We start from the raw sequence: 18565 nt of genomic DNA, 5'->3' as shown, positions 1-18565 counted from the left end.
TCCCAGTGACTTCCGGCTCGTGTATCCTGTGCCACCAGATGGGAGCTGGGCATTTTACCTGAAGTGGTACCAGGGTCTACAGCTTTAACCCTCCCACCCAGGGGTGCCCCAGGTCTGCCCTGTCCTTCACTGAGCAAAGACAAGTGTCCGGCCCCTCCTCTGAGGCCCCACAAAAAGCCCCTTACCCTGCTGATGTAGAAATGTAGGGGAACCGGGAAGCGGGGGGTCCTGGCCCAGGGTGACAAGGGCAGACTGCAGGGAGGGACTGCCCTGGGGGCACACCTGGCTCCACCAGACCTGAGGGAGCCAAGGGGCCCGCCAGAGAGTACTGCCAAGCCTGCCCGAGGCACAGCAGCGCATCCCAGATCACAGCAGGCAGAAAGGCCTGGTCCAGACCCCACCATGCACAAGCACTGCCCCGGCCAACCCCAAGGGAAGCCCCAGACTCATCTTGAACAGGTGGCAAAAGCCTGCTGAGGGACCTCGGTTCCACCTTCAGAGGCTCTGGGAGGCTGCAGCCTGCCCACCTGTTCATGCCTGGGGACTGTGTGGCCAAGTGGGTGTGTGGGGAGGGCTGGGCCACCACTCTGCCCCCACAGGCACCTGGTGGAGCAATGTGAGGCGGTCGCCGGGCCAGGCCACTGGAGCCTGGAGGGACATCAGCTGTGACACCAGCCCTACCAGCCACCCAACAGGACCCCGGTCCATACCAAAGACTCAAAGTCAAATGAATTTATTCAGAAAAGGCCTTGCTTGGTATCAGACTAAGAAAAGCAGCCCTGCCCGCCGCCCCCCACTCCAGAAGGGTCAATTTACAAAGACAGGGGCGCAGGGGAGAGCTGGGTGGGGAAGACACAGCCAGGCCAGGAGGCTTCTGCAGGCCTTGGGCTTCCCTGAGGGCCTCGCGGCTTCTGGTGGCTGCTATAGTGGCCCCACAGGAGGCCAGCACTGTGGGTCATGGGTCACGGGTCACGAAGCAGAGCCTGAGGGGAGCCCGCAGCAGCTCCGGAGGCCCCAGCCCCTGCAGCAGGGACAGGAGGACCAAGACGCCGACGGGCACTCCTTTCCTTAAGGCTTCCCAGACTTGGCAGAAGACTCCACCTCTGCGTCCTGCAACTCTGCTGCCTCCCCCGCCTTGGCTGGCTCATCCCTTGTAGGTCCTGCCGGGCTGGGGCCTGGGGTCTCCGATGGGCTCTCGGCTGGCTCGTCCCCTGCAGGTCCTGCCGGGCGGGGGCCTGGGGTCTCCGATGGGCTCTCGGCTGGCTCGTCCCCTGCAGGTCCTGCCGGGCGGGGGCCTGGGGTCTCCGATGGGCTCTCGGCTGGCTCATCCCTTGTAGGTCCTGCCGGGCTGGGGCCTGGGGTCTCCGATGGGCTCTCGGCTGGCTCGTCCCCTGCAGGTCCTGCCGGGCGGGGGCCTGGGGTCTCCGATGGGCTCTCGGCTGGCTCGTCCCCTGCAGGTCCTGCTGGGCGGGGGCCTGGGGTCTCCGATGGGCTCTCGGCTGGCTCGTCCCCTGCAGGTCCTGCTGGGCTGGGGCCTGGGGTCTCCGATGGGCTCCCAGGGGTACCTTCTTTGGGCCCCGTTCGACCTTCTGTGTCCTCCTCAACCCCGTTCTCACTGTGTCCAGCCTTGGGGTGCCCCGATGGGGCAGGGGACCCGGCAAGGGCCAAGGTCTGGGCACCACCACTGGCCACCGCAGCACTGTCCCCAGCACCCTCATCCACCTTCCTCCGCTTCCTCACCTTGTCGGCCACCCTGGCTCCCAGGGGTTGGCGGCAGGGCTGCACTGCCTCCCCAGGGTCCTGACCGCCCACTTCCTGGGTCCCCGTCCTGAGGCTGCCCTGGCTGAGGGCACACCCCTCCAAATTCAGAGCGATCTTCTCCACCTCTGAGGCACTCTGAGGGCCTGGCTCTGTGGGCGGCTGCTCCCGCCGGCTCAGCTCCAGCTTCCTCTTCTTGCTCTCTTTGGGGCTTAAGGGCTCCGGCCTATCTTCCCCGTGGCCCCCTGCCTCATCCCCCTGGCTCCTCTCCAGGGGTCCCGCATCCTGGGGCTCCACGCTCCGTGGCTGGGGCCCCTCGTCCACCCTGCCCCCACCCTTGCTATGCTCTGGCCCACAGGTCCGACCCTGGGTGCTGGCCTCGTGGTCGGGGTCCCCGGGGCTTCCTTCCTCCTCCACCTTCCTGGAGCCCTCGAGCGGATGGGGCAGAGAGCTGGGCTTGAACCTCCGCAGCTTGTCTTGGGGCCCCCAGACGAACTTGCAGCGGGGCCGGAAGTGCTCCCAGGCGAAGTGCACCAGCTGGCGGCGCTGGTGTCGGCAGCGCACGGCGAACATGAAGTAGTCCAGGGCACTCTGCCGCACCCCCGGCAGCTCCCGCCGCACCAGCGTCTCCTCCAGGAAGAAGCGGACCAGCGGCGCCTGGAAGTGCTCGAGGCCCAGCTCACCCAGCGACTTGAGGATGCGTGTGATGCGGAGGTTGTTGTGGCTGCGCCTGCGAGAGATCCGGGTCAGGAGAGGTCAATGGCTGGGGCCCCTCCTGCTGGGCCGCACCCCGCCCTGGCCTGCCCTCCCACCCGGCTCCACGAGGTCTCCCCACCCTGGCCCACGATTCAGTCTCTCTCTCCATTTACCTCTCTGGGCCCAGGGGAGGACTCATGCCATCCCTGTGAAAATGGCCTGTGGGCCCTAGACACACGGGGGTTAGGGGGATGCTGACGCATCACCTAGAGGGTGGCTGTACCCCGAGTCCCCCTGGTGGGGAGGAGCTGGCTGGATGAGAGCCACAAGGGGCCCCTGCAGGGTACAGGCGCCTCGAACACCCTGTGAGAACTGGCTGTACCGCCTGCAGGTTCTCCATCACCCCTGCTTGCTTCTCTATGTGGACTGCCACCTCCTGGGTGCAGGAAGAGCATTCTTTACCTTCTCACCAACCCTATCGGGGAGGGACCGCCCGGCTCTACAGGCAGCAAGGAGGGGACTCAGGGCCTTGGTCCATTGCCCAAACAGCCCTGGAGTTCTCCGTCTGCAGCAGCGCTCTGTGACCTGCCCGAAACCTGACGTGGCCCTGTTCTGCGCCGGGGTGGGGGTGGGCGGGAGCAGCCGGGCCTCACCAGTTCAGGTTCTGGAAGCGCTTCTGGTAGTTCTGTGCTCGGCCCACCGTGCCCGTGCCTCGGTCCTCCAGCCGGATCCCGTAGAAGCCCAGCATGAGCTCGTAGGCCCGGACAAGCCGCTCCTGGATCTCCTGGGAGCTTTTAAACACCTGGAAAAGACCCCCTTGGAGAGCTCAGGCACCATCCCTGAAGCCCCGGTTCCTGAGTGTGGGGGTGGCCGTGGGTCCCGACTCACTCAGAGGCCTGGACTAGACAGACAGACAGACAGACATTTATTTAGAGACAGAGTCTTGCTCTGTTGCCCAGGCTGGAGTGCAATGGTGTGACCTCAAGTCACTGCAACCTCTGCCTCCCGAGTAGCTGGGATTACAGTTGCCTGCCACCACACCTGGCTAATTTTTTTCTATTTTTAGTAGAAACGGGGTTTTGTCACGTTGGCCAGGCTGGTCTCAAACTCCTGACCTCAGGTGATCCACCCGCCTCAGCCTCTCAAAGTGCTGGGATTACAAACGTGAGCCACGGCACCTAGCCTGGACTCAGACTTTTAGGGTAAAGTGACAAGAGACACACTCATGCCTCCATCTCTCCTCTGAGCTGCTCCGAGCTCTCACCAGGGCCTGAGGCTGCCGCCCTCCCCTGAGAGGAAGTCGCTGGCCATGGGAAAGTGCCAGGAGGGGCCCCTCGGCTCTCTAAGTCCCTGCATCCCTCAGGGGCAGCTTCCACACTTGGGTGACCCCACTCCAGCCTAAACCAGTGGTGAGAAAGGCAGGTCCCGCCACTCCGGGTCTCTCAGGGGCTCAGCCCCAGACTCCCGCATGGGGACAAACAGCCTCGGAAATTGAGTTTCTCTAGATGCCTGGTGGGGTGAGGACCACTGGGGAGGGAAGGTCATCATACTGGAGGCTCTTTCGGCCCTTCTGCCTTCCAAGGGACCCCTGAGGGGGCACCAAATGCCTACTGCCAGAGGCGACCCCGTCTCTGCAGCGGCGTGGCTTGCCCAGGCCTCCCCATCTTCCCCTCCAGTCACAGCCAAGGCCTGGCTCACCTCGACCTCCCTGAGCGTGAGGGGCTTGGCATGCCAGTTCACTCCTGGTTCTCGCAGAGGAAACAGCCTGCAGGAGAAGAGATGCTCAGGCAAGGGATTAGGAGAGCCGCTTCCAGACCTTGGGCAGGTGCTCGCTGTGTAGCCCGGGGCAGTTCCAATCCCCTCTGGGTTCCCAGGCTCAACTCTAGGAGGGAGTGGCTAGGTGGAGGAGCGAGGGTGGGAGAGCTCAGGTGAGCGTGCAAGGGCCCAGGACAGGAGGTGTGTGGTGCGTAAGTCACAGCCTGCATGCTCAGCAGGACTGGGGAGGTGACTCAGGCAGCGAGGGGCCCTGCAGCCATCCAGCCCGGGCGGACAGGGCCTTCCTTTCTACTCCTCACTCTTCCCTCTCTTGTGTTGTCACTCATGACACGTCACACACCAGCAGAGGCTCCCTGTGGACGCCCAGCGAGCTGTCCCCAAAGCAGGGCATGCTGTTTCCGGGGCCACATTGTGGGTCCCCAAGACGCCTGCCACAAGTCTCATCCCAGCACTACGCCAGGACCCTGCCCCAGCTGAGTCCGAGACGGGGGCCGCCCCTTGAGGCTCACTGAGGCCTCCTGGCACTAAGGCTGCCCCTCTGGCAGGCAGTGCCTGCCCCCTCTCCTGTTTCAGGGAGCTTGTGTGCAGCCCTTCCTGTCTCCCTGGTCACCAAGAGCCCACAGATTGGGGACAGACCTGAGCCTTCCCTCAGCGGCCCTTGCATGTCCAGTAATGTCCATCCGTGTAATGTGGACACCAGCTTCCAGGAAGGGCAGGGAGTGCTCAGTCCGTGCCAGGAAGCAGCGTCGGGAGGGCTCCTGCCTGGGAGGGCCCTCCCCCTGTGGCCTCGCCAACCCCCCATCCCCCCATCCTCCCCAACTCACCACTGGATGTAGGAGTGATTGTCCTCAAGGAGGTCATAGTTGTCCGTCCAGTTCTGAAGAATGTCCTCAATGAAACAGCCTGGGAGCCCCATGGGGACAAGTCAGCTGTGGCAGCCACCCTGCCCGTGCTCAGGAGGACGGGGTGTGGGTGGGGGACATAAGGAGAGAGTGCTGCCAGCAGCTTCCCCAAGCTATTCCTCGCCCTCATCTCCTGAGGCTCTTCAGGGTGCTAGGCTCAGTGGGGCTGCCCATCCCTCCTCCGATGCACAGCCCTTGCCCTGCTGCCATCTGTGACCTGGACCCTTGTTGCTGGCTGGCGGCAAACCCCACTGAGAGCCCGGAAGGTCCCTCTGGGGGAACCACTGGTCCTCGACCAGGACCTGTCTGTACAGGAGGGGGCCTCAGTGCCTCCTGCAAAAGCGTGGCCCGTCAGCCACAGAAATCTGTCCTCAAACACAGCCCCCAGCTGAACCCAGTCCCATGATGTGGCAGGCACAGTCTCCTGAGATGGGGGCCTGACAGTGTTTTGTGCAGCCACCCAGTCTCTGTTTCACGTTGCAGCCCGGCACGTGCATAAACAGGTGTGGGCACGTGCCCGTGAAGCTTTATTGACACTGAAATTTTAATTTCTTATAATATCAAAGTAATAGAACACTGTTCTTTTTTTTTTTTTTTTTTTTTTTTTTTTTGAGACAGAGTCTCATTCTGTTGCCCAGGCTGGAGGGCAGTGGCGAGATCTCGGCTCACTGCAACCTCCACCTCCCAAGTTCAAGCGATTCTCCTGCCTCAGCCTCCTGAGTAGCTGGGACTACAGGCGCACGCTACCACACCTGGCTAATTTTTTTTGTATTTTTAGTAGAGACAGGGTTTCACCATATTGGCCAGGCTGGTCTCGAACTCATGACTTTGTGATCCACCCGCCTTGGCCTCCCAAAGTGCTGGGATTACAAGCGTGAGCCACCAGGCCCGGCCTCTACTTTAATTTTTTGCAACCATTTAAAAATATAAAAGCTATCCTTAGCTCGTTGGTTTACATGTGGCTTTCATGAGGTCGTGCAGGAGTTCAGTAGTTTTGATAGAGACTGTGTGGCCTGAAAAGCTGCAGATATTCAGTCTCTGGCTCTTTACAGAGATAGCCCACCCCGACCCAAACACCACTGCGGAGATCCCAAGCCGGGGATCCTGGAGTCCCTCTGGCCGCCTCCAGGGGGCACTGTGGGGCTATTTGAAAGCCGTGGCCCTGGTAATCGCCGGGTACATCCCAAACCAGGGCCCAGTGGACCACCCCTGCCAGGCAAGGATGGAAGCGCCGGCTGCCAGTGGTTGTGAGGCACCTACCGTTGGGCAGGAAGCGGATCTCATTTCTGTAGAAACTCAGGTTTGGCGTGTCCCCATTGCAGTCTCGTTCCACCAGATCCTGAAGAGCCAGAGAAAGGGGACAGCAGGGATCCATCAGACACAAGCTGCCCTGGGGCCCTCCGTGTCTTTCGGGGAGGCGCATCTGCAAACCTCCAGGCTGGCCCAATACCCCAAGAGCCCGCCTGGCTCCTCACTCTGCAGGTGGGGGCCATTCAGAGGACAGCAGCTGCCTCCAAGCCCCAGGGACCCCCCTTCCCCATTTCGCCAGCCAGGCCAGGCCTGGCAGGTCCCCTCCTCAGCACCCTGAAGGCAGCACAGGGGTTTCCGTGATTCAGGGGTGTGGAGGGTAATGGCTGAGGACAACCTGCAGGAGACAGGGCTGGCATGGGGGTGGGGTGCTGTGTGGGCGGTATCACGGACCCCACACGTGTGCATCACGAGGCTGGCACTATGGCCATGTTTGCAAGGCGACGGTGTGCTGAAGCTCAGAAAAGTAGGGGGATGCCCCCGGTCTCCCGCGAGAGGGGAAGGGCAGGGCTCTGAATCTATACCAGGCTGTGCCCCAGGCAGGGTCCTGCCCAGAACTGTGGCCCTGGCACAGCAAGCCAGGCCAGCCTTCCAGTAGAACCTGGGACATTCTGCCTGAGAAGAGCAGCTGGCGGGAGGGTTCTGTGTCCCGGGGCAGGGGCAGGTACGTACCGGATAGTTGTGCCGATACCTACACATGTCCCTCGTGGCTCGCCAGTTTCTGGACCCTGTCATTCTGGACTGGGAAGAAAAGAGATGGGATTAGGACCCCCATGGGAGACCCCCAAGTGAGTCCCAACGTGGTGAGGGCTGCAGGGCCTGGGCCAGCTGCCACAGAGCTGTCTTTAAAGGGCGGGGGTTTCATGGCTCCTCCCTCTCATTCTCCTGCCCTGGCTCTTTTTTGGGGGTTCCCAGTGGGGCAGATTTGGGCCTCAGTAACGCATCCCAATACCCTGCACAGAACCAGAGAGGGCTGCGGTAGCCAGGTGGGGGGCTGCTCCTTCTCTAGGCCCCTTTGGGACTCCTGGCTTCCACCTTAGGGTGGCCCCTGGCTGACATGCACCTCCCCTGGGGTGTGGCCCTGACCCTCTCCTCCTCCTAGGCCTGCTGGCCACCTCCACCCTGGCTTTAGCCTCTGTTCTGTGCCCCTGGAGACTCCCCCTGCTTTGTACACTAAAGTCACCAGGCTGTGTTCTTGGGGGCAGTGGCCTCACCACCTGTAGCCCCAGAAGGGGACCCAGGTGCTTCTGGCAGGGTCTAATGAATGAATGCCCCTTCCCTGCCCAACCCCACGCCTCACTGGCCACGGTGAGGGCAGGCCCTGAGTCTCCAGCCTCCAGCCCTGTCTAGTGATGGCTTCTCAGCAAGATGTCAGGTCCCCTTGATGCCCCAAGCCCTTCAGCCCCCATCTCTGCAGGCCAAGCATCATGGGGCTGAGCAAAGGGCCGGAAGTACCTAGTGATGAGGATGGTGGGACACAGCCCTGACCTTGTGATGAGGGTGGGGGGCCTGGGGCTGAGCCTCACTCGGTGGGTAGGGCAGGAATGGGCGTATTTGTCCAGGGCAACAATTGGGACCCAGGATCCTGGGGGAGTGCTAGAAGGGGGGTTAGGAGGCCCGGTCAGCCACTGTATCCCCTGGCTCCCCGCTGAGCTCCAGCTGGGACCTGGCGTTGCCTCTCTGCCTGATTTTTCTTTCTTATTTTTTTCCCCTCGAGATGGAGCTTCATGCAATCTCCACCTCCCAGGCAATCTCCACTCACTGCAACCTCCACCTCCCAGGCAATCTCCACTCACTGCAACCTCCACCTCCCAGGTTTAAGCGATTCTCCTGCTTCAATCTCTGGAGGAACTGGGATTACAGGTGCCCATCACGCCTGGCTAATGTTGTATTTTTAGTAGAGACAACAGTTTCACCATGTTGGCCAGGCTAATCTTGGACTCCTGACCTCTGGTGATCCGACTGCCCAGGCCTCCGAAAGTGCTGGGATTACAGGCCTGAGCCACCGCCACCGACCTCTCGGCCTGATTTCTCAACAGGGCCGCTGGTGTGGTTCTCTCGCCCCGCCTGATCATCAGTTTCTACTTCTCCTTCCTGGGGCCAGCGGGAGCCTCCCTGGGTCAGTTCTGGAGGCTGGGTCCTGACTGGATGTGGCCACACAGTCAGCCCACAGGTGCATACATGACACTGCCCAGGAAAAAGTGAAACAGCCCCGCCAGGGTCCAGCGCAGGCAGCTGGGGAGGCCTGAGGGGTCCAAAGGGGAAGGGGAGGGGCTTGTGGACAGAAGCCACAGCAGGAGGCAGAGGGAAGAGGTCAGGGGTCACGGGCGCCTGGCAGGATGGTCAGGGCCTCTGAGCACCGCTTCAGGAGAGCGGCCTGAGGAACTCCAGTGAGGAAAGCCCGTCAAGAGCCCACCCAGGGGTCACACCGTCCTGTGGGACAGAGCCAGACCCCACCCCCCTGCCCAGCCTGCCTGGCCGCTGCCCTCCCGGCGACAGGGCGGAGCCCCTCCGTGCTCTCTCACTGCCCGCTCCACCATGGCCAGGCGCAAACGCAAACAGTGCTGGGTGCCAAGGGGAGAATCCATGCGGAGCCGTCGAGTTCCATGCACTTCCCGGCCCTCCGCAACCCGGGCAGCTCAGCTGGAAGGCCGCTCCCAGATCAATCCCAGCTCCCCGACAGGGGGGCCGGACTGCGACAGTGTGGCGTTCCCAGCGCGGCAACAAAAGTAACCCCGGCGATGACAGGCGCCCGGCGGTAACAAAAGTAACAAGCGGAGGCCCCGTCGGCCCGCCCCGGGCTCCCGCAGGTGCAGACGCGAAGCCTCCCAGGCCAGACCCGGCCCGGGCCCCAGCCCCAGCCCCAGCCCCAGCCCCAGCCCCAGGCCGCGGGGCCTGCGCAGGGGCCGCCAGGAGGCCGAGGCGCGGGCCCGAGGCGGGAGGGGTTCCATCAGGGGCGGCCACGGCGGCTGGGGGCGGGACGCGCCCGAGGCACCCCCGGGGGGAACGGCGCCCACACACGATGGGGCCCGGGAGGCTCAGCTCCGCTGTCACCCACGCGCGGCCCCCGCACTTCCCCGCCGGGCCCTGGGGCTGGGGGTCGGCCGGTCTGGGGGGGGGTCCCCGGGGCTGCGGGAGCTCCAGGAGGCTCCAGGTGTCTCCGCCCGGGATGGGGGGGTCTCCCGTCCACGCAGCCGGGCGGGGGGCGCCGGGGACCCCAGGCCTCTTCCGCGCCGCGGGGCCGCACCTGGAACGAGCTGGGCCGCGCCGCCCGCGGCTCCTCCGACTCCTCGTCCTCGTCCCCTGCGTCCGCGTCCCTCGCGCCGGCGGCCTCGCCGTCCTCGCAGTCCTCGTCCTCCGCGTCCTCCGCATCCTCCTCGTCCTCCTCCCAGGTGGAGTCGCAGTCGGGGTCGTCCATGCTCGGCGGCGGCGGGGCTCGCGCTGGAGGCGGAAGCGAAACCGAAAGCAGAGGAAGCGCGGGGGGCGGGCGGGGGGAGGGGACGGAGCGGCCCAGGCCCCGCCCGCGTCCGCGCGCAACGCCCCTCCCTCCCCGGGACGCCCGCCCCGCGCCCCTCCCTCCCCCGAGAATCCCCCAACGTCCGCCCGGGAGGATGCCCCTCGCGGAACGCCCACCCCCACCCCACGATGCCCACCCGGGAGGATTCGCCCCACCCCGTCTCGCAAGGATGCCCGCCCTAGGAGATCCTCCCTCCCGAAAATGTCCCCAAAGCCTGCCCGCCCCCCAGAGGACGGTCTCCCCGGAAGATGAGCCGGGTACCTAGGAAGGATGTCTTCCCGACGATGTCCTCCCAGCAGGATTCTCTCCCCGGAGGATGCCTGCCCCGCAGAGAATCCCCTCTTCCAGGAATATTTCTGTCCCCCAAGAGAAATCCCCCCAGAGGATGTCCCCATCAGAAGAATGTCCCTTGGAGGATAACCCCCGGAGGGGCCACGTGTCCACAGGGGCCTCTCTCCCTAAGCTGGGTGTGTAGGGGTCTCTGTCCTTCTGCTGCGGGCTGGGGGCCTTACTCAGCTCCTGGAAGCTGCTGGCGGACCCCTGTCCCTCCATAGGCAGTGCAAAGCACGGCCGTTTTCTTTTCAAAGCCACCAGGGGAGTCTTTCTCTCTAGGGTGCCGAGTCTTATATAACCAGGATGACATGGGCAAGCCGTGGCTTCCTTCACCTTTGCCGCCATCTCTCAGTTGTAAGAAGGCACTTAGGGGAGAGGACCACACGAAGCCTGGGCCACCGGGAGGGTCACCCTGGGGACTGTTCAACACAGCTGATGCCAGTTCAGCGCCTCCTCAGGGCCCTCTCTCTAAGCACTGGCAGATATGGGGCAACACAAAGTCACTTTCACCTGCCATTTCCCAGCACCGCGGGTCCCTTGCTCATCCACCTTTGACATCTGCTGGCAGATACATGGCAAGGTTGGTGACCTCTTGAAATAAAAATCAGGAGTGGCCACTCCAGATAAATTTCTTCTGTAACTGCTATACCAATTCATTTCAAAACATTTAGGTAAAACTAAATCTGGATTTTGGACTTGGCCATGAGGATAGCTCCTCGCAGAGTTGTCCCTGTAATGATGGTGGTGGAAAGGTGGAGAAGGCCCCAGCCCAGCCCCTAGGGGACACTGCCATCTCCTAGCCCTGCAGGCCTGCTGGGCCTGGGAACTGGTGACATTCCTTGTACTGTGTGCCAGGGACAGCCGTGAACGCAAGTCTTCCAATCCTGGCCACAAGTACAGGTTAAGGACCCTCTGGGTGCTGGGCCCTAATCTTTGCTGACCTGTTGACCACTGTTAGCAGGTGCAGTCTCACCTGGCTGGAACCTGTGGACATGCATCACACTTTCTTGAAACGACAGTGGTGATGCCCCGAAGTTCTGGGGCGCTGGACATTTCTGTAAATCAACTTAGTGCAGTGGCCAGGGCAGGTTTCCCAGGGAGCCTGAGTGAGCTGCCTGACCTCCTTGTTAGATGATTTACAGGTGGGATCTGGTTGCAGCATCAGAATAGACTGTGAGGTGGAGTCGGGGGGCTCTGATGGGGACATTGATGGGTGCTGGGTGGTTGTATAGGGTTTGGGTGATCTGAGACTTGGGTGGTCAGGCTGCCCCCTCCACTGCCCCAGAAAACAGAAAGACAAGCATACTGGGTGCTGACAACATTGTTCTACGGGGACAGCATTCCCGCTGCTACCTACTGTCGGCAGGACTATAGAACCACTTCCCTAAAAAGAGTATTAGAGACATTGCCCAACTTCTGTTTTACAAATATCACCACACCAAATTGCTTCTTTAGTTGCTTTTGTGTTGTGTGTGTGTGTGTGTGTGTGCAGAGCTCATCTCGGGGGCGTGCTAATCCAAGAAGTGCAGGAGCTGCTGCAGGGGACTGTGCAACAGAATTGCTTCTTCAGAGCATCCTCTGCAGTCCAGTGACGCCCCGTGTGGCACGGCATTCCAGAAGGGTTTGCTGTTGAGGCTGGGGAAAGGGGCTCTCTTTCTCTGTCACATACTCACACACACACACACACACACACACACACACACACACACACACACACAGCTCCCAGGCACCCAGGAAGGGCAATGGTCTCTGCACACGCAGTGGGTGATGTGCCTGGAGCAGGCAATGCTCACAGCTAAGGAGCCCAGCAGAATTTTGTGTGGCTGGGAGCTTGGATTACAGCCTTCATATCTTCTCCAGGCAAGACCAGTGGCAGCCTCCTGATTTGGCCCAAGCATGCCCTGTCCTCAATCAACCAGCCAAGCAGGGAGCCTCGCTGCCAGTGCCCTGCCGCTCAGTATTTATTCGCTGCTATTTGGGGAGCAGTGGAGCCCAATTGCCTTTCCCAGTCACCCCTGGGTCGCCCTGGGTGGGCAGGCGGGGGAGTTCAGATCACTCCCACTCTCAGCCTTCACTGAGTCCCCACCCGCAGCTGCCAGCCATAGAGAAAATGTCTCTGCGGCAGCAGGTGCTCTTGGGCCCTGCGTGTTCCAGGTGTAGAGCCGCTGCTGAGGCTTCCAGGCTCAACATCAGCGGCGGCTTCTGACCCGTTCAGATCTTGTCCCGAGTGCACAGTGTACCACGTCTCGCCTCTACAGCAGCAGGCGCGTGAGCGTCCGTGCACGGGCCAGCCTCATGCCAGCTGTTTTCCTTTTCAGATTGGGGTTCAGTCGGCACCTTCTACATGACATGGTGGAGTGTGCATTACATAAAGCCCCCAGGTTACAGACAGGACCCCTGGGGCCAGGAGAGGGTAAGTACAGCGCTTACCAGGACTTGAGGCCACATCGCCCTTGCCCTGACACTTGTGAATTTGACCTGGTCATCCCACCTGCCAGCAGAGCATGAACTGGGCCTCCCCACAGGGAAGCCCAGAAGCCCCTGTGAGTCCATAAGGGCTGCGTGGCTCCTGACTTCAACCAGTCAGCCTCTGGTCCAGAAGGGAGGCCCGGGGCGGGGGCACGCTGCTCACCTGCCCAGTGGGCTTAACCTGTGGGCTCTAGCTTTCTCCTGGAAGTGCAGCAAAATGTTACAGTAATCGAGATGAGGCAGATTTATTAACTAGGCTTTCCTAGCACAATCTGAGGTCACCCGAGATGCGGTTTCAGATGGAGGTTTAGGACAGTGAGCCTGGGTGGCGAGCAGGACTCCTCCTGGCCATCCCGTGACACCCCGTGTTAGTATTTGCCCCCCTTTGCCCTGCTGCTTCTGGACTGCCTAAGAGCCAGGCTGCTGTCCCGGACTGAGACTCCAGGACAGGACCTGGCACAAAGCCCTGAATGAGGCTGACCTAACAGGAGAGATCAGACGGGCAAGGGGGCACACTTGGGCAGCAAAGGGAGACCCCACCCTTCCCTGGCTGCAGGGCTGAGTATTTGTGCTGTGAGTGGAGGAATGCCAGGCGGGCTCAGTCCTTTGGTCTATGTGTGTGGGGCCCTCCAGATGCCTGCTCTTTGTGGCAGGCTGTTACTGCAGGGCTGTGGATTTGTCCCGGCTCTATAGAAAAGGGACCCACAGGGTCCCCCCAGGCAGCTGCTCTACCCTTGGAATACAGCTCAGGCAGGCCGTAGACCAGCAGCTTCCCTGGGCTGTTCTTCCCCAGAACTGGCAGTGCGTTTGGTGCAGACGAGTGGCAGGTGCCACACGGGGCGATCACATGGCACGGGATTCCTGGCTTTGCCCCTTTAGTGGGTGCCTTGTGATCTGCGTCATGGTGAGGAGGACTTCAGGGACAGATGGCCAGGGATGTTCCCAGGTGGTGGAGGAGGCTCCACTGGCAGAGAAGCAACGTCAAGCTGAAGACATTGGGGTGCGATGGCTGGCCAGGACAGCTTGTCTCCTCGTCCGCACACGGAACGCTGGATTTCACTCTGTGACCCAGCCAGCGGTCTCATCTCACAGCCGCAGCTTTCAGCAGGAAGGAGCCCACTGGTGCCTGCCTGACCTACGAGGGCCCGCACCGTTTTGCCCTCCTAACATTTTGTATTTGAAGTGCTTGTCACAGTCCACAAAATAACCACTCAGAATCTGTTACTATTTTGTTTATATGTTGTATCAAGTGAATGTTAATAAGTCATCTAAGTGTATGCTTTAGTTATAAATCTTGGAAAAATAAAAACTTCCTTTTGGAGGAAAAGTGAACTTACTTTGGTATCAAAATCACACAACTCCAGGTTGGATTTTTTTGTGCTTTAATGTTCGCAGTCACACGAAAGTGGCATCTCCATCAGCACTGGGGCGGCCGCCTCCTCATCAGCCGACAGCTGCACGGTCCCCGCCTCTCATCCATTTGGTCTGTTTGCAAGTTACTAGATCATACAAAAATAACCGCTACAAATTCTCTGTATCTGGCATATAAAAACTGAGCAAAAAGTATCTCTTAAAGCAAAACATCTCAGAAAAAATACAACACAGGTTTAACTTCTGCAGTACTTTGTTCATATAAAACACTAGTAAAATAGGCTTCTTAAAAATTAAATAGTGAAATACCAACCAAATTATATACATTGTTACAGTACAAGTGAATGAGGCAAAATATCCAGTTCTTAGTTTCCCAGGTGGGTGGGGGTGGCCTTCAGTGCGTGGCACGGAGGGGGTGACAGGAAGGCCACGTTCCAATGTCACAGTCAGCGCAGAAAGAGGCTTGCAGCGGGACAAACAGATGGAAAGAACTGAGTCACACAGGGAAGACCAGGGGCTCCTTTGAGGAAGAGTGAGGTCATGTTTTTATTGCTTGCTAATCCGAGGTTTTCCCTGGCCCGATGCCCCTCTAGGTAGCCTGGATCCCAAATGCTGCAGCCCACGTAGCGCTAATCCATGTCACCAAGCAGCCACGGGGAAGCCACAGCTGCTCCAGAGAAGACAGAACTAGGCTTCAGAGCCCTCAATATCTGAGCTGGACCGATCCTGGTCTTTCAGGTCCATCAGGGTCCCACATGGTCCAACTGACACACACGTTTCCCCGCTGACGGCCACGTTCACCTGAGAGCCTGAGGGCGGGCAGTGTGGGCTCATGGCACTGGGATGGTATCACTGTGGCCTGGGGGGTGGCACTCAGACCCAGCCAACCCCCTCAGCGACCACAGTGCCTCGCCCGCTTCTCTGCCGCCACCAGGGCTGAGGGTCTACGTGCGGCGCCGCTTGGCAGCACTGGGACTGGAAGGGTTGCTGTTTGCGGTCAGGACTTTGTCGGTGACCCGGCTGCGCTTCCGCTTGTCTGCGCCTTCTTTGCACCCCAAGTCTGAGGAGTTCTTCTCTTTGTCTTTGCTGGATTTTTCTGATGCTTTCCCCAAACTCCCTGAAGATGAAAAAACTGAGAAACGAAAAATCACTTGGCTGAAAACAGAATATCCAGAATCTTATTTTTGTCTTCCTGTTCAGTTAAAAAAATCTGCATACTGACACGTGACCCTCTGAACCCAAAGCTTCCTCCTGAGCTGGGAGCCCCTTGCATTTGGGCCCACAGAGGGGCCTGGTCCTCCTGAGGACCTGCCTGCGGCGGGCACTGCAGGGACCGCCGCTCAGACCCTGGCCTACAACATGGAGCAGGCACTCAGCTCCTGGGGAGGGGGCACTGCAGGATCCATCCTGTGCCTAGATGACCTGCCTGGGGCCTCTGCACCGCAGGCTCTACGCCCACCTGACTGTGCCCTGCCTGAAGGCAGTCTTGGGGTGCTGAGCCCCAAAGGGCATCAGGGCAGGGTGAGCTCCACACTCACCATCGTCAGCCCCATTGTGGGGGTCCACGTCTTCCTTCATCTCCTCTTTCATCTCCTCTTCTATCATCACTTTTCCTGTGGAGGAGACAGCTGACGCTCACCGAAAACCCACGGTGGTGGCCGACGCTGGGGGATGGTCAGGCCAGGGACTGCTCCGACGCTTGCTGCCCACACAGGCCTCAGCTTCCGTCCAGCCACTGCTCTCAAACAAAGTCCTCTCCAATCCCGGAGGTTCCAAGACCACCCAAGCACAGGTAGGGCGGGGTCTGCGCTGGACCCTCACACCTCCCTGGAGGCCCGGGGTCCTCACCCTCACCTCCCTGCCCTTGGCCAGGGTCTGGCCTTTTCTGAATCCCAAGCCCAACCTTTCCCGAGCCTCACCTTCTCGGACCTCCTGAATGATCTCTTCTGGAAGGACGAAGTTCCTCTCTGGATTCGGGAATGGAAGAATCTCAGACTCATGCTGATATCAAATAGAGAGTTTTGTTTAAGAAACAAGGGTGAAGATGCAGTTTCAAGAAGTCACTAGAGCCGTGTAAGAGCCACTTGGGGAGAGGCCAATGAGCACACATCACTGTGTTGGAGGCTGCGGCGGGCGGGGCAAGGGCAAAGGGCATTTCTTCTTTTTGTGAACAGCGCCTGCCACAGCTGGGCTTTCCAGACAGACCCAGGGAGGGCAGAACCAGCGGCAGCAGATGCAGGAGTCAGGAAGACCCACCGGGGCCAGCATCACTAAGGCGGGCCCTGAGGACCGGGCAGCCCTGGTGACACACACCTGTGGGCTCCGCCTGCCCAGCACGGCCTGCAGTCTCACCATGAGACTGCGTTCCCCAAGGCGGCATGCAGAGGGCACAGTGACAGCCCTGGGGAAAGGCCGCAGGCACCTCGAGTTCTCATCCACGTGGCAGGAGCCCATGGACACCGAGGGTGTCGGTTGGGAGCGCCACAGGCACAGAACCAGGCAAAGAAGAAGAGAGTGCTTGCCAGGCACTGCCCTCCTGAGGTCGCACAGACCAGAGGGAGAGACCTATGTCATACTGATGGCCGGTGTGGCCCTGAGTCCAACGTGGCTGGCACAGACTCTCCACCAGCACAGGTCCCCACTCCTCCTGGTCACCTGACCCCTGACCCCCACCCCACTCTCCAAGTACACCACCTTCTTTGAGCTCCTGGACCCACCACCTCCTGCTGCCACAGGGCCTGGAACACCCACCTGTCTCTTCTGGCCACCCTGCTTACCTAGTTAACCCGCTCGCCCGTCACACAGTGCCAGCTCCAAGCTCTGCGAGGACTGGAACTCTACTTGTCTGACTCCCACAGAAGTCACCAAATTCACCTTGGTGTGACTCAGATAGGGTCACCCTCTGCCTAAAGCACTTCGGGGGCCTCCCAGGAGGCTGACAATGGCCTAAGGGCCCGGGACTCTGCATCCTTCCCTCCCTCCCCAGGGTCTCAGCTGGAGACTCTGGCCCAGCACCCAGTCTAAAGCAGAGCCCCTGAAAAGCTAGCCAGCTGCTAGCACTGTGTTTGTGCTTTCCATGACAGGCTCTGGAGCCCCGGGATGTCCTCCTTAAGGACGAGCCTCACTGCAGGGGTCTCTGCCCAGGGGACCCCAGCAGGCACGGAGGGGCCTCTGCCCAGCTCAGGCTGACCCTGAGAGCTCACTGCAGACCCCAGCAGGCATGGAGGGGCCTCTACTCTGCCCAGCAGACCCCAGCAGACATGGAGGGGCCTCTGCCCAGCTCAGGCTGACTCTCAGAGAGCGGTGTGCGGGTTCGTGCCCCCATCGGGCGGCACAGGGAGGGCGGTTGGGCTCACCAGCGCCTGCATGTCGTACATGGTGCTCAGATGGTCCCAGATGACCTTGGATGGGACCTGCCGCCCGATGTTCTGGCTGAACTTGTCCCGAATACAAATCATGTGGAAGTGTCGGTTCACACCTGAGGGGAGGAGGGGCGGCGGGATAACCGGTGAGCGGTGAGGAGAAAGGGGATGGAGGGGACGGGCTGCCCTGGGGACTGGAGGGGCAAGGGTGGCTGCGGAGAGATGGGGAGGGCCAGGGTGTGGAGGGGCTGTGGGGGGGCAGGGCTGGGTGGTGTGTGTGGGAGGGGGTGGGCTGTCCCGGGGCGGGGGTGGGGGTGGGGCACTGCGGGCTGGGACCTCGCGGTCTCACGGGGGTAGGGGTCGTGGGCGGGGTCCGGGGCGGGGTCCGAAGGGCGCGTGGGAGGGGGCGGGGGTCCCGGGACGGGTGTGGCGGCGGTGTCACGGCCCGGGCTCGGCGGGGAGCGTGGGGGCGAGGGTGTCGCGAGCGCAGGCCCCGCCCCGCCCCGCCGGTTGCCCGCCCCGCCCCCACGCGCGTCCGCAGCCTGGGCGCTCACCGACGGGCTTGTGGCCCAGCATGGCGTGGAAGAGGCACACCTCCACCTCGGGGCTCCACACCACTGTCTCCTCCGCCGGGCTGGTGGCCGCCTCCCCCGGGCCCTTGTCGCCTGCGGCGCCCCCGCCGCCCACCTCGGCCTCTCCCATGGCCGCGGCCCGGCCGAGCAAGGAGCCCCCGGCGGGAGCAGGCGCGGCCACGAGCTCCGCGCAGGCGCACTCGGGGGCGGGCGCGCGCTCCGCCGGGTACGCGCTCGGGCTCACGCGCCGGCGTCGGCGCAGGCGCAGCCGAGGTCTCGGGTCCCTTCCCGCCGGGGACTCCGCCCTGCTCCGCCCCGCGCGGGGGTTCTTAAAACGTGTTCCTCTTTAAAGCACAGTAAGAAATACACTGCACCCAAACAAAAAAGTCTGTGCTTCAAAGGAAACCATCAGAAAAGTGAAAAGACGACCCACAGATGAGAGAAAATATTTGCAAATCCTATATCTGATAATGAACTTCCTTGTAGAAGGTATAAATAATT

The 18565-nt window shown here is 61.2% G+C and overlaps 2 protein-coding genes and 1 long non-coding RNA gene across 4 annotated transcripts, besides 8 other annotated features; 1 reads left to right on the top strand and 2 right to left on the bottom strand.

The window, feature by feature from the left end:
- On the bottom strand, nt 718–9883 carry OGFR (opioid growth factor receptor). The gene is made up of 7 exons (NM_007346.4): nt 9688–9883; nt 7113–7181; nt 6393–6471; nt 5055–5133; nt 4153–4219; nt 3108–3256; nt 718–2488 (listed from the first exon to the last, which is right to left on the bottom strand). The coding sequence occupies exons 1-7, from the start codon at nt 9856–9858 to the stop codon at nt 1069–1071; spliced, it is 2034 nt and encodes a 677-aa protein (NP_031372.2). The 5' UTR covers nt 9859–9883; the 3' UTR covers nt 718–1068.
- Nucleotides 6159–6208: a silencer, noted in NCBI's record as "silent region_13125". NCBI's record gives its function as "represses an Ori minimal core promoter by ATAC-STARR-seq in GM12878 lymphoblastoid cells {active_cell/tissue: GM12878}" and the evidence as "EXISTENCE:reporter gene assay evidence [ECO:0000049][PMID:35858748]".
- Nucleotides 8950–9009: a silencer, noted in NCBI's record as "silent region_13124". NCBI's record gives its function as "represses an Ori minimal core promoter by ATAC-STARR-seq in GM12878 lymphoblastoid cells {active_cell/tissue: GM12878}" and the evidence as "EXISTENCE:reporter gene assay evidence [ECO:0000049][PMID:35858748]".
- On the top strand, nt 9131–14091 carry OGFR-AS1 (OGFR antisense RNA 1). The gene is made up of 3 exons (NR_102430.1): nt 9131–9250; nt 12609–12703; nt 13639–14091. It is a non-coding gene; the product is annotated as an OGFR antisense RNA 1 (long non-coding RNA).
- Nucleotides 9160–9329: a silencer, noted in NCBI's record as "silent region_13123". NCBI's record gives its function as "represses an Ori minimal core promoter by ATAC-STARR-seq in GM12878 lymphoblastoid cells {active_cell/tissue: GM12878}" and the evidence as "EXISTENCE:reporter gene assay evidence [ECO:0000049][PMID:35858748]".
- Nucleotides 9160–10110: a biological region, named in NCBI's record as "H3K27ac-H3K4me1 hESC enhancer GRCh37_chr20:61435960-61436865".
- Nucleotides 9205–10110: an enhancer, noted in NCBI's record as "H3K27ac-H3K4me1 hESC enhancer chr20:61435960-61436865 (GRCh37/hg19 assembly coordinates)". NCBI's record gives its function as "activates a minimal SCP1, AML or CMV promoter by ChIP-STARR-seq in naive H9 embryonic stem cells {active_cell/tissue: H9 hESC(naive)}" and the evidence as "EXISTENCE:reporter gene assay evidence [ECO:0000049][PMID:30033119]".
- Nucleotides 9390–9539: a silencer, noted in NCBI's record as "silent region_13122". NCBI's record gives its function as "represses an Ori minimal core promoter by ATAC-STARR-seq in GM12878 lymphoblastoid cells {active_cell/tissue: GM12878}" and the evidence as "EXISTENCE:reporter gene assay evidence [ECO:0000049][PMID:35858748]".
- Nucleotides 9620–9689: a silencer, noted in NCBI's record as "silent region_13121". NCBI's record gives its function as "represses an Ori minimal core promoter by ATAC-STARR-seq in GM12878 lymphoblastoid cells {active_cell/tissue: GM12878}" and the evidence as "EXISTENCE:reporter gene assay evidence [ECO:0000049][PMID:35858748]".
- On the bottom strand, nt 12989–18245 carry MRGBP (MRG domain binding protein). Of its 2 annotated transcripts, none has more exons than NR_136405.2 (5): nt 18047–18245; nt 17487–17608; nt 16050–16131; nt 15669–15865; nt 12989–15262 (listed from the first exon to the last, which is right to left on the bottom strand). NR_136405.2 is itself a non-coding variant. In NM_018270.6 (5 exons), the coding sequence occupies exons 1-5, from the start codon at nt 18192–18194 to the stop codon at nt 15075–15077; spliced, it is 615 nt and encodes a 204-aa protein (NP_060740.1). In that variant the 5' UTR covers nt 18195–18245; the 3' UTR covers nt 12989–15074. The 2 variants fall into 2 exon arrangements, 1 of the variants encoding a protein (NP_060740.1); NM_018270.6 differs by having other exon boundaries at nt 15669–15743.
- Nucleotides 17939–18478: a silencer, noted in NCBI's record as "silent region_13120". NCBI's record gives its function as "represses an Ori minimal core promoter by ATAC-STARR-seq in GM12878 lymphoblastoid cells {active_cell/tissue: GM12878}" and the evidence as "EXISTENCE:reporter gene assay evidence [ECO:0000049][PMID:35858748]".

The sequence above is a fragment of the Homo sapiens genome, chromosome 20 (assembly GCF_000001405.40).
Source record: "Homo sapiens chromosome 20, GRCh38.p14 Primary Assembly".
Taxonomy (NCBI): domain Eukaryota; kingdom Metazoa; phylum Chordata; class Mammalia; order Primates; family Hominidae; genus Homo; species Homo sapiens.
Note: the sequence above shows the minus strand (reverse complement) of the source record. Positions and strands in the feature narration are given on the sequence as shown.